Source organism: Homo sapiens, chromosome 7 (genome assembly GCF_000001405.40).
Source record: "Homo sapiens chromosome 7, GRCh38.p14 Primary Assembly".
In the NCBI taxonomy this organism is placed as follows: domain Eukaryota; kingdom Metazoa; phylum Chordata; class Mammalia; order Primates; family Hominidae; genus Homo; species Homo sapiens.
In genome coordinates, this window is record NC_000007.14 from 135,361,262 (window position 1) to 135,375,249 (window position 13,988).

Genomic DNA, 13,988 nt, shown 5'->3' on the forward strand with positions numbered 1-13,988 from the left:
CCTCTACCCTCTTTTGGTCAGTGGTGCGATCGTTGCCCCATCAACAGGTACTTCCTAAAATGGTCAGTCATAAAAGATGTGTCTGTGGATCATCTACATCAGTGTTTCCCGATCTCTTTCCCATCATGGCACTCACAAAGAGATGCCACTTGTGTGACATAGTGACTGCTGCTCCTGCCAGGTCTCCCTAAAGAGAACCAACATCTCAACATGTCAATAACCTCTCCATTACTGGCACATAAGGCTTCTCAGTTGGGAAGGCTTGGCATGCATAATACAATAGCAGAAAGAGGAATCTTCTACTGAAAGGCACTGGAAGAGGGATTCTTGAGGACAAGATGGGCTGAACGTCAAGGATGCCATTGACTGTCAATAAAATGGTTGTTTCTCCTCCACTTTCTTCTTCTAAACCATCCTCCCTCCCCACTGTTGAAGATGTAAAATCAAATGGAAACATCTGATGGCTACTTGTCACAAAACCTTTCAAACTCACATCCAACAAAACAGAAAAACAAAAACAAGGACAACCCAAGTGTCACCATCAAGTTTTCTGTTTTATTTAAGATTTTAGTTTTAATTCTGAAGAAAGAGGTACATTTCCTTGTTTTTAGTTTTAGCGTCAGGTTATAACCAGGTTTCTGTTTTCTTTTCTCCTGTCTTTTCAATACTGCACAAACGTCCAGAAACTACAGGGTTAAGTAAAAGCTGCAGGCAAGGAGGTCAGAGATTTGCTCCCGATGGTGATCAGATGGCCCCAGAGCAGTGCTATCTCAGAGTGCCCTCGTCAGGTGAATTTATGGTAAAACAAAAAAGATTCCGACAGAGGAGAAGGACTGAAGAAATGACTTACATTTCAGCTCTTATATTATTAATAGGTATTAAATCTGTGAATACTTTTTTCTTTAAAACATTTCAATTTACTTTAAATCTAAAGCCAAAAAATTTTTCTCCTTTAAAAAAATTACTTCTCACCTCCTTATGAACTCTTTAGCAATCGGCCAGTTACTACTACAGATGAATTTGTCTTTCCATCAACTTCCAATACATTCTTTTGCTTAATGACACAATCAAGTCCTTGCCATCAACTTGCCAAAAGAATTAAAAATTAATTTAAATTAAAAGCATTTTCCCTGCAATAATGATAAGCTGAATACAAGATGGATGCTAGGACCACTGCTTTCCCCCATGCATTTAGCAATCTCACGTAAATGAACCTGGTTTTCAAACTTCTGCAGTTGATAATGCATTTACTTGAGCTTTCCTATAGATTAATCGTCATTTTCTGCTAAGCAGATTATGTCATTATTATGCGCAACAGACAAACAATAATTTTCTAAGTATTGAGACTGCCCTTTGATTTTTTTTTCTCTCCTTAAAAAGGCATTTTTAGAAACATTCAACAGTGTCACTCAAATGCTGGATCAACAAAAATTTTTACAATTAATAAAGAGATGGTAATGACCCTGTGATCGCATTGCATCTGGGGTTAGGGAGAAAAAAAATTGATCAGGTACTGGATTCTTCAGAACATAAGAGATGAGAAGGGAGCTGTGGGTGGTGGGCTGAGAGGGAGAAAACAGAGTGGGACAAATCCTGCATTTTCTAATGGTTGCTCCTCTTTGCCTAATGGCGGTCCAGTGTTGAACTCTGTAGTAAATCTGTGGGGGTTTTGCTGGGGGGTCTGAAGGCTGTCTGAAAGCCTGGGGGTGGGGAGTGGAAGCTGGAAGGGTTTGAAGGAGGAGGGTAGGGATTCCAACTGGCTCTGTGCAGCGGGATCTGTGTGCTGAAGGGGGCGCTGTGGTGGGTCTGTGATGGAGCAGCGCTGGGGCCGTCCATCTCTGTGAGGGCCTGAAGGGATTTTAGCCAGTGTGGAGGATTGTCATCTTGAAGAGAGTCTAAACTGTTTCCTGAAGACGCTGGAATACCTAAGGAGAGAAAAGAAAAAAGAGGGAAAATGGTGAGTTTGTGTGGAAAGAATAAGGTCGTCAAACAAATTTAGAAAGCAAAACCAAAAGGAAAGACAGAAGAGATTACAATTTTAAACTCCTTCCAAATAAGACCTTTTAAACCAATCCTCCCCCAACAACAAAGAACTTATTGGCACACAAACCCATGCCTCCTCTTGAACTAGACTTAGTCCCCCACTGTCACAGAGGCAGAGCTGCAAAACACCATTCCCCAGAACTGCCTGATGGCATTTCCCAATTGTGCTTTTCCTCCTCTGACAGGGATGCGTAACAAGACAGCCTTATAATAGAGAGCTTTATAACAAAAAGTGGAGTATGTTCCTTATAAGAAGAGTAAGTCAGATCCTTTTGTACTTTGAGGCCTACAAAATACACATGTTGCCAGATGTTAACACCTACTTAAACCAGAAGAAGCAACCTAGGCACCAAATGCCTTCTTATTAATACACAACTAGGCCGACAGGTTAAATGAGACTTGCATGACCCCTGAGAACGAAACAAGCCACTCCACACTTGCGGCTTTGTGAAAAGCAGCTTATGTTGAAGAGATCTCGGTTTTTATTTAATCTGTGCTAAAAACCAAACTGTTGGCAGTCAGTGTAGCTGAAGGGAGTGAGAAAGTTACCTGTGATGATGGCTGGGTCTGTCCAGCTGCCAGGGCTGTCCCAACTCAGGCTGTCGGTGGTGGCAGTGTTGGACGTTGGTGCACTGTGGTTGGCGTTGGAGGGGGAAGAAGAATTGGGCAGTCCACCAAAGTTGATGTTAATGTTGGGTAGAAGTGCCCTTAGCCCGTCCTGCCATTCCTTCATATTTAAACTCTCTACAGAACTGCTGTTGTCTGGGAGATTTACCAACAAAAAAATGAAAGATAAAAAAAAATAAAAAGCTACGTTAGAAACATATGTTGTTCTTTAGTGGTTAAGCGGGAGAAGAATTATTCTTTCTTTATTGAGCATTTAAAATGGGTTGTCCTAGCAAGATAAACTTGGTTAGGATTTTGCTCGTGAGCTCAGAGCCCCTGAAGTGAGGAAAAACTTGCTCAAGGATCAGGAGAGGGAGGTTCTTGTCTCTCTATAGCCTCTTCACCATTATGGGTTTGTAAATCAATAATCCAGTTTAAAGACTCAATGCTCCAGAGCACAATTTAGTTCCAGCTACATTATGAAGTTTCACTTAGTGAGGCATTTAGCCAGCTGAGCTGATTTACGCTATAAAAAAGCCAAGTCTGCAAAGTCCAATATAGGAGCTTATTTCTCAGCCCACAAATGGAAGAAAAGTCATTTTATGAAGAATAAACATAAGCAATAGAAAAAGAAAAATAATTAAGTCCTTCTTCATTATAAAACTGGCAATGTGCTTCAGAAGAGAAAAGCAGTAATGAACAGGCTTTTGAATTTGAAAAGAATGTATTTCCATTTAGTCACTAAGGCCGAGGAGGCAGGAGCTGATACCTTCTAGATGGAATAATTTCCAACACAGTCTGCCTGCTCTACTCCAACAGTTCTACCAATCATTCACAGCCTGAGTCCCGGAGTCCTACAGTTTTCTGGGTCTATTTATGAATAGTATCAAACATGAGAAGACACTAGCAACATAGAAAAGGCTTTTTATAAATTGTGACTAAACTAACTTGATCTACTACCATCCAGAATCCACATAGTATAACTAACTGGTCAGGGGGAAAAGGGTGAAGTATAACAACTACCTAATTGTTTAACAAATACTTAGATAGTTGTTTTATTTTTGAAAATAGCAATGTAAGTCAAATTACAAACTGGAGTTTTTGAAAAAAGCATAGAAAAATATTTCTGATTCTACAGAACTGATTGGCAATCAACGCTGAGAAGGAGGAGGAGGATGTTCTAACAGGCACGATCTATGCTGCTTAGCAAAATCAGAATTTTCTTTTTGAAATTTTGCTTTGCACCAACCACTGATCAATGCCAAATTATATCATGTTTCAACAAGTGAAGCATTTAACTCCATTGACCTTATTTATAAAAAGATAAAATACTACAACTAAACTGAACGAAGGTCATCTCTGAACTTATTAAGATGAAGAAAAAGCACTCTAGGCTACACAAAACAAGACAACAGAAGGGAAAATAAATTCTCCAACCCTACTTTCATTTCATAATTGATGTAATTTACTAAACCTCACATTTCTTATATTTGCATATTATTTTACATTTGTATGTGTTGTATGGTTTACAAGGCACTCTCATAGTCAATTATTTCATGTGATCTTCACAACAGCCCTGAGAGGCAGGCAGACAAGGATAATCTGCATTTACTAGATAAAGAAACAGACTCAGGAATAATTTCCCCAAGTTCACAAAACTTGTTATTGAGAACTTGAACCTGAACCCTGTCCAAAAAAAAGCAAGCAAGCTTACTCTCTCGATCTACTCTGTACAGACTATTAATTTTTTAAAGGGTCAAATATTAAAGGGAAAGCCCAGGGGAAGACCCATGATTGAAAGGAGGCAAAAGAGAAACAGAGAAGCATTATAGTGTGTCCACTGGCCATGATTAGCAGAGAGATATTGTGACTAAAGGAAGAAACTGGACTTTGCGGCCAGGAGAAAAAAATTCTGCTCAAGAATACAATCACTAGTTTCCCCCTGGCTCCCTAACTACATGAGACACAAACAAGATCATAAATATAAGTCCTAGAACACTCTCAATCACAGTAAGGTTTACGGCTATGGTACACTCTAACTTTTAAAGCAGTCCAACTGTCATGCTGAATAACTTAAAATAGCTTCCAATTAGGCAAAAGCCAAACAGGGAAAACTTCCTATAAGAAAAATAAAATCCCCCAGAAATAAAAAGATGATGTATAACTACATGGGAACATTTTCAGGAAGATAAATGATCTTACACCGAGTGGCTAATGTCCCTAAGAAGTCCATGCAAATGATCCTCCCTCTTCTACTGAATAGGGAGAGAGAGAATATCCCATAACTCAGAACAATCTGCTCCTAACTTTTGCTTTACCATTTAGTGAGCAATGAAATTGAGGAACATTTAATTTTGCATTAACAGAATAACACTTGCATTTACATAAATCTTATTTGAAAATTAGTAATAAAGTCAAAAGACAATAAAGGCAGAGGGGTTATATGACAATTCTCCGTACTTCCCACTCAGTTTTGCTGTGAACCTAAAACTACTCTAAAAAAAAGTTTGTTTTAAGGGACATTTGTTCCTGTAATTGTAGACTAATCAAATCAAGCAAGGGTATGTTAGCCAAAGAAATTCACATATGGCGCATGATGCAGAAACAGTGAGAAATTTAGATCCTCCCAGGTGCACTATGATTACAGGATACCTTGGGAAATAAATTAGCTAGTTTATAATGCAACAATCTTGACACCCCTCCTCCCCCCAAAAAATCATGTGCCTTGACATTTTGGGAGCCTGACAGCATGGATGTGGCTTACAGTAAAGCTGCAAGTGTTACAGGGAAGTAGAATGATGCTTTTAGCTCTTGGAATAGGATCATATTCCATCTAGCTTAGAAGAAAAGAAGTTTATTTCACTGTTTTTTCCACTATTGCTATGCCAAGTGCTGGCACAAAGAAAAGGTGAGAGAAAGGAAATCAGCTTAATCCTAATCCCATCAAAATAGCTCATCTCAGTCCGGCCATACCTGAAGTCACCTCCTTGATTCCCTATTCCCTCCCAATGACCCAAATTTGTCTTGGCTGCGAGGGCTTCTGGCAATTCCATTCTTTGAAACACATACAGCAGGGTTTATCAACCTCATCACCACTGACAGTTTGAACTACATAATTCTCTGTTGTGGAGTGCTGTCCTAAGCACTGTGGGAGGTTTAGCAGCATTGCCGGCCTCTACCCACTAGATGCTAGGGGTACCAACTCCCCAGTTTTGACAGCCAAAATTGTCTTTAGACGTTGAAAATGTCTTCTAGGGAAGCAAAATTGTATCCAGTTGAGAACCACTGACACAAAGGAAGTCGATTCCTTTGCTTCCAGGGCTCTTATATGATCTCGCTTGAATGCACATTTTCCTTTCAAATAGTACCAGGACTTTGCCCACTGACTCAACCTGATGCAAGTTCATTTTCTTTTCTTTATACAGGACTTCACACTGGAGTACAATTCAACGTGTATAAGTCAGCAGGTCTCATAGAGAAAACATTGTAGATAGGTTGTATAAGGCATCTCCACAACTGGCTGTCAATATAATTTAGGCATGTACATCCCAGGACACCTAATTCATAACTAAAAATAACACCTGCCTTACTCTCTCATAAGGATAAAAATAAGAGAAGGAAATGCAATTTGGAGCACATTACTTGCTAAATGCCTAATAACAAATGCTCCACTGGTGGTCAATACCGAACGGATAGTAAATTTTCCAAAAAGCTAAGGCAGGGTATTTCTTACTGCCAGGAACTAGCCCTGTGTACTAGTCTCCTTTTAGGAACTTAGGAATAACACTCATCATTCTCAGAGGTACTGTGTAGTCAATCTAATAATGAGTCTTCTTATCACTAAAACATTACAAAGACAAGACATCAGAAAGTACTTTAAACTTACCATAAGATGTGAAAAGAGCAAGCAAAGTATAATAAAAATCAAGTTACCAAACATTTTATATTAAAAACAATACTAATTTTATTTTTAAAGTAATTAGTAATAGTATAATACATCAGGGAATGAGTGTTTATTCTTAAGGAATCGATAATATATTTAGATGTTTTCTGATGTTAAAAAATTTTACTTTATGGAATATAAATATGTACAACAAAACACTATTTTCAGTTCTAAACAATTTGAGGGCAGGAAAGGGGGTCAAGTTGTTGGTAGTAGTTTTATTTTTCAGTGTAGAACTCAAAGGCACACAATTTAAAGTACTTTCAAGATGCGACGTGTCACACTTTCATATTCCACTGTGTAAGAAGTATCAGTATACTTCATTTACCTGCCTCAGAAAATCTCTTATTAAAGAAGAAATTATAGTTAAAATTCTGCTACCTTGCTGGTCAAGGTAGCAGAATCCATAGTAAGCGGATCATGATGCACTAAACAAGCTGACAAATCTAGTTTTCAGCAACAACAACAGTTTAAAAAATCAGTATAAAATGCATATATTAAGACCACCAAGCTAAAAATCAAAGCAACTCTTTACTGAATGCCTACAGTGTACATGAAACACAAAAGCACTTAAACCATGACCTCTGTTTTCAAGGGGCTAAAAGTCTAGACAGTGGGACAATGAAAATAAATGAAAAGTTCAACAACTACATCTGAAAAAGCAACAGAAGAAATGCCAAGGTGGTATATGATTAAAATATGCTACATAAGTTCAGTAAAAAGACAGGCCAGTTGGGACACGTACGGGAACGTGTTGGTGGGTGAAGAACAGTAGCATTCGTGGAGTTGCCATTTTAGTTACTACATAGTTCTCCCCCTCCTCCCACACCAAACCTGAAAATCTCACAACAGGTTGAAACTATCTTTAGTATTTCTGCATAACACTGTACTAGTCCAACTGTTTACTAGGAAGTACACAGAAAGGCATTTAAACAATGACTATATTATAGACTATATTTCAGAATGAATTCTGACATCAGACCTTTCACAGAACACTGCTTGGGCAAGCACACACAGTTAGCATTAATAGCACCTAGTGGGTATCTTTCTGTTCTCCAGGTTAACTGCAATATGTTAATTATTATGAAATGTAAAACTATAAATAGCAAAATGTGGGAAAACCTGCTCCTAACAGTAAGCTGTCACTGGCAACAAGCCAATGGGTTTTTCCAGCTGGCATAAAAGCTTCACCTGAAAGAATGGAGGAAGTTGAGGGCGCAGGGTACCAGGACAAGGCATCCTTCCTTCCCACCTTGATTTCATGTAGTTTATGTATTAGGGTACCATGTGAGATTTAATTTGAAAAATAAGATCTGCTGCTAAAAGGGTAAAGACATAGAAGACCTCTGCATAATGACAACATAGTGAGATAAAACACATGTAAAACAAGCCCCCAAACAAGACAATTCCAGTAGATTTGTTTCCACGAATATATTTTTGTGCCACCAAATCAGGATATTGTGCCGTCTTGGAATTCCTGCCTCTACTTTATTTTTGGTACCCCCTCCTCAAGGTCTTCTCATTAAATAATAAATACACCCTTACCGGGAAGCAGTCACTGAGAGACCCAGTCACAAAATACACCTAAAAGTGTTCATTCTGCACTTCAGTTTTTGAGCCATATTTAATGGTCATTACCAAAAGGCTCAATACAACCTGATTTTGTTTTTCTAAAAAGCTTTTGTCTTCCATCTTCACTCTTGTCCTTTATAGTTCAAAACCACAGGCTCCAGTGGTTAGGTTACTTAAACAAATCTTTCTTGGTGCAAGTGGCTACACATCAGAAACCTGGTTCCTACTATGATTAACTCTTTGCCATTTAGACTTTCAAACCTTTGTGCATTTTTAGAAGGACATAGGGAATAACCTGTCTTAGCTCCTGCCCCCACACCCCTCCCTCTTATAAGTGATCTCCTACCAGTTTTGGGATGGAGTGCATCTTCATTTGAACAAAGTCTTGGTTTGAACAAAGTCTAAACTTCCTCAAACCTCAACAATGAATCTCTAAGTGACTCAAATACAAATGATTTATGCTGAACTAAACTTCAAAGAGCAGACAAAATTTGTCATATTGAAATTTAAAAGAAAGCCTTCATAATATAAGTGTACTGTACATCAGGGCAGTCACAAAAATCATTCCAATTTATTAACTAAAATATGCAGAGAAAATGACTTCTTAGTAAATGAATTGTTACAGACATTATAAAATCAGTTTATGAAAAATGTTATTCTAGTTAAATAGTTTACACTCAAATTTCTACAACTATGTTTATTATAATGCAAGACACACCAATACTCCACTAGGTCACAGACAAAATCTTAAGGGTTTAATAGATCTGAAAGTAGAATTTGGATTAAGTGGAAAATCTTAAGAACCCAAATAAAAAAAGAGTTCTGAGCAGAAACAACCTGAACAAAGTAACAGTCAAAACAACAACAACAAAAAAGGCAATATTTGTTTATACTAGTAGAAATGACATAAACAGAAAAATCCAGACACGCTACATATGACTTGTGCTTTCTAAACTCTATTCCCTCCATTCTCCTTGTCTAGAATGCTTTCTTGTTGTCTTCAAGTAGTTTTTATTCAATCTTCCAAAAGTCGAAGTCTCTTCTCTTCCACCGGCCAGCACTTAGGGTCTGAACCATTCATCTGGCAGCACACCATGCCGTGCCATCGACTGCAGTTACTGTCCACCTTTCCATGTACTCATACTTCACCTCTCACAACTCCGCTGAAAAGCCTGATGGGGACATCCTGTACATTCTTCAGCATGTAGCTCAGTGTCTTAGAAATGTTACATGCATCAAGATATCTGCAGACTTGAGGGTCTGACTTGAGAAGAGCTGGAAAGTGACTTTCCCCAACAAAATCTGTTTAATTCCTATCTGTATAATGCTGTGAACAGATGGTTCTCTCCAAAAAGATGCAAAGCTTTCTGAATGCAGGAGGAGTAAGTTAAGTTTTGGGGTCCAAGAGGCTTCTCTGCATGTAAACTGAAGGAAATGAGCCACTAAGATGATATGTTTTTAATAGCATTTCAGATGCCAAAACACAAGCAAATATACTTTTAAAAAGTCCAACGCATCAAAACTGTTTAAAGAAGGAATGTTTTATTAAAAACAAATACTCCACTATTATGTGTGCAGGATATTAAACAAAAGTCTCTAAGATATATTCTACCCATTTTTCTACTTCAGCCACTATTCCTTCACTCACTATGCACTTTATGTACTCAATTACTTTAGTATCAACAATCCAATGAGGTTAAGTAGTAGGTTCATTTTACAAATGAGGAGGCTGAGTAGGCACTGTAGTTTAAAGAATTTGTCCCAGGTTATGGAGTTAAAGTGTTGCAGTCAGCAATTAAAATCAGTCTGACTCCAAAGCATTTGTTCTTGCCATCAAGCATACTACCAACCAGTCTGTGTCCTGGGCAGGACTCATGGGCTAACAGAAGGGAAGGGTAAATGTGTTTAAATAACTACAACATGGGATAATAAATGCTATTCTAGTATGAGCAAAGACCTGTGGGGCATAAAGAAGGAAGTGAATAATTCTTGCATTCTACATATAGGATAAACGGCAAATAAGAAAACATCAGAGGAAAAGCAGCTGATGTGGAAGAGGGAAAGGGCATCCCATAGAGAACACAGGGACACACAGGCCACAGGCAGCAAATAAAAAAATACAGTGGGAACATTTCAAAATATAAGTAGATGTGTTTGGCATAATGTATATTATTCTCTTCTAGAATGTTCCTATAAGGATCTATAAATCTGTTTTGAAGGAGAATCAGATTAATGAGAACCAGAAGAATCTAGATGGCTGCTTTATGAAGGATCTAAGGAATCAGAATCTAAGAAAAAATAAAAAATACTCATGTGCAAAGTTATATAAAAAAAGAGGAAAAAGTAAACAAATTTGAATATAAAAGATACATACACCCTTAGAAGCATCACAGACTGGATCAGATGAGACCCGAACCACAATATGTAAGCAACGCTAAATGAGGGCAAGGGACAAAAAAGATTCATATAAAAGATCTTTACAATGTCAAAGCAGCAGCCTGGAGGGAAGCATTTAAGTGAGCACAAAACTGAGCAGTGACCATGAACAAAGCCCTGTGAGGAGATCCAAAGATGGTCAAGGGAATGTAAAATAAGGAGACAATACACAGATCACCAGAATATTCACCCAATATGACTTCCCCAAAACAAATGACAAAATTGCAGAGACATGGAAGGTGTCAACCACCCTAACATCTCTGAAGTCTAAATCTGCTAGAAGAAAATAAACCTGATAAAACATTCCTTGCTGACGATCTCTCTTTTCCAAGGTGAAAATAAGGAAGAAAACTTTTATTCTGGACTTAATTCTGACCAACGAAGAACTGGTTGGCTACTGCAAAAATAACAGAAACCCTAGGAGGACGTGACATAATTTTAGGATTTACAAAAGCAGGGAATGGGAATAATTATACTTGAGTTCTTAGATGGCAGGCATCCTCGCTATTTTGCAAATACCACAGTGTATTGCAATCATTTGTTTACATGTTCACTTTTTACAACTAGACTTTGAGCTCCTCTAGGAAAAGGACCTCGATTTAATCATTTCTATGTAGTAGACAATGCCTGAACCTGAACTTCAGTAGGTACTGTATGTTTCCCAAACATATAACCCTGAACGTTTGCTACCATGTTTTTTTTTTTTTTTTTTGGAGACGGAGTCTCGCTGCGTCGCTCAGCCTGGAGGGCAATGGTGCGACCTCGGCTCACTGCAACCTCTGCCTCCCAAGTTCAAGCGATTCTCCTATCTCAGTTTCCCAAATAGCTGGGATTACAGGCACACACCATCACACCCGGCTAATTTTTGTATTTTTAGTAGAGACAGGGTTTTACCATGTTGGTCAGGCTGGTCTTGAATGCCTGACCTCGTGATCCACCAGCCTCAGCCTCCCAAAGTGCTGGGATTACAGGCGTGAGCCACCGCACCCAGCCTGCTTCCAGATTTTTTAAGAAAACAACTATCCAAAAAAAGATCGGGAAAAGGATGGGTGGGAGTGGTCCCATGGTTATAGAGAGCAGTGATTCACAGGCCACAGAAGATGCTAAAACATGACATTTTGACTATGCAATAATAAATAAATCTATAAAGAAAAGAAAATTAGAGGAAATCTAAAGAAGTTGGTTGTTACACAGGGAGAATCTGATGGGACTAGATTTGCAAAGAAAGCTTAGAAAAGATGGGTAGAGGTATATAACCTACTTGTATATAAAAGTATAATTCTTACGGATTAAAGTCAGAATCCATAATGATCTGAGGAAAGTGAAAAATGCTGAAAGCAAGACAAAGCTATGTTTTGAATAAGGGGAATATCAGGAAAAGCCACTGCTCAGCCTGATGCCATATTTGACAGGAGAAAAGGCAGGGCAATGTAGTTCCATGTTCATTTTGCTTCCTTCTATCTTTAGGTAAGAGCATGATCTTCTAACCAAAAGGACAGATTAAGTAATGTGAAGAAGGGAACTATTAAGTCAGGAGAGATGCAGACATCACAAAAGCATCTACTCAATTCAAATGAGTTTAAATCTTTAGACTGAAAATGAGTTTTATCCCAGGCTCTTAATCCTCACAGGTGAGAGCACAAAACCACTGTTAGAAAAATACCAAAAATGGAAGAAATGGCAGACTCTGGAAGCAACATGCTTAGAATTATTATTTTTTTATTTTTATTTTTTGAAACCAAGTCTTGCTCTGTCACCTAGGCTGGAGTGCAATGCTCGATCTCGGCTCACTGCAACCTCCACCTCCCAGGTTCAAGCAATTCTCCCGCCTCAGCCTCCTGAGTAGCTGGGATTACAGGCAAGTGCCACCAAGCCCAGCTAATTTTTTTTTTGTATTTTTAGTAGAGACGGGGTTTCACCTTGTTGACCAGGCTGGTCTCGAACTCCTGACCTCGGATGATCTGCCTGCCTTGCCTCCCAAAGCACTGGGATTACAGGCCTGAGCCACCATGCCCAGTCTAGAATTAGTTCTTGAGAAATTTCTAAAACAGATTTGGGGCTTGATGATTTCTTCAGAAATGAATATGATGGGTTTATCAACCACTGTTCTGTCTGCTTGTGTTTGGGGGTATTTTTCATGGGAAATAATGCGTAGCATTTTGACTAGAACTCAGCTTGATTCCACCTAAAATATACAGGAAGTTTAATTCTGAAATTGAACAAGTAGTCATAGAGGTTCCACTGACAATTGTTTTCCATTGGAAAAGTCCTTATATATCCCACGGCCTACTTCCTTTCCCCTTCTGCTGCCCATCTAAACTCAAAGACTTTGTAGTTAGCTCTGTTCCCATCCCACTGACTCCTCAGTCCTCCCCCAAAATGGAATAAAGTTATCAATGAGAGTCAAAATGAATTTTCATAAAGAACAAATTCTATCAAAGTAATGTATTCTTTGGATAGGCTTCCTAGGATGTCAGAAGTATAATATATATTGAATATATCTTGAATTCAGCAGTTTCTGGTAAAATTTGCTGATGATTCCCTTTTGGGATAACATGGTAAAGTATAGCATGGATAACAGCAGTGTTTAGATGAATCTACACAGAACTTGAGATACTGAGTCAGCCTAAAAGTCTCTGTAATACTCTTGGCTTATATTTGACTCCATGCTTTTTATTATACTTAACAAAAGCCACAAAGTTCATTTAAATATGCAAACGGAAAGCCAATTCTACAGATGACAGAATAGTGGAAACTACAACTATTCTTAAATTAAAACTCTTAACATTCTTTGACAAATGTTATTAATAGTGTTATTAATAACATGCATCTATCACTTTATAATCACATAGTTCTTTCATAAGACAAACTTCTAAGATGGGGATATACAAACAGGATACATTCTAACAATACCAAATCCAAACACATACAATTTAACAGATATACATTAGATTTTTAAAAATGCATTTGGAAAGGGTAGAATGGAAAAGATCTAACCATTAGCGTGTATGGGAAAAGGTCTAGTGGTTTTACTTAAATAGGCTTATGATACTTGGTCTGGCAACTGGGTAATGGAACGCCTAAAAAAGTAACATTAAGACCATATAAATAGATGTGCAATGTCTAAATTAGCAATTGTGTGACCTTAGGCAAATCACGAATGATAACCACTCTGCTTCTCATTTATAAAATGGAGATAACTACCCTACAAGATATTTTTATAAAAGAACTCTATAAACATAAGGGAAAATACAAATATTAGTAACAAGTTTTAATAAAAGACATCTATTATCTGATCATATGTGGATTATTATATTCAAGTGTGAGCTTCATATTTTAAGAAAGGCAACGTCAAGTCAAAATATGTGTAAAGAGAATTAAACTGAGA

General features: G+C 38.0%; 1 protein-coding gene across 12 annotated transcripts in view; it reads right to left on the reverse strand.

Annotated features, from left to right (window-relative positions):
- Positions 1-533: 533 nt before the first annotated feature.
- The window catches only part of CNOT4 (CCR4-NOT transcription complex subunit 4), a 148,308-nt gene continuing 134,853 nt past the window's right edge, over positions 534-13,988 (reverse strand). For 7 of the 12 annotated variants that reach the window (NM_001393373.1, NM_001393371.1, NM_001393372.1 and 4 more), the window contains 2 exons: positions 2,593-2,805; positions 534-1,925 (listed from right to left, as the gene is read on the reverse strand). In NM_001393373.1, the coding sequence (NP_001380302.1) occupies positions 1,624-1,925; positions 2,593-2,805 (515 nt within the window). In that variant the 3' untranslated portion in view covers positions 534-1,623. The remainder of the gene's footprint in view (positions 1,926-2,592; positions 2,806-13,988) is intronic. The other 5 variants (NM_001393375.1, NM_013316.4, NM_001190847.2 and 2 more) reach the window with 1 other exon arrangement.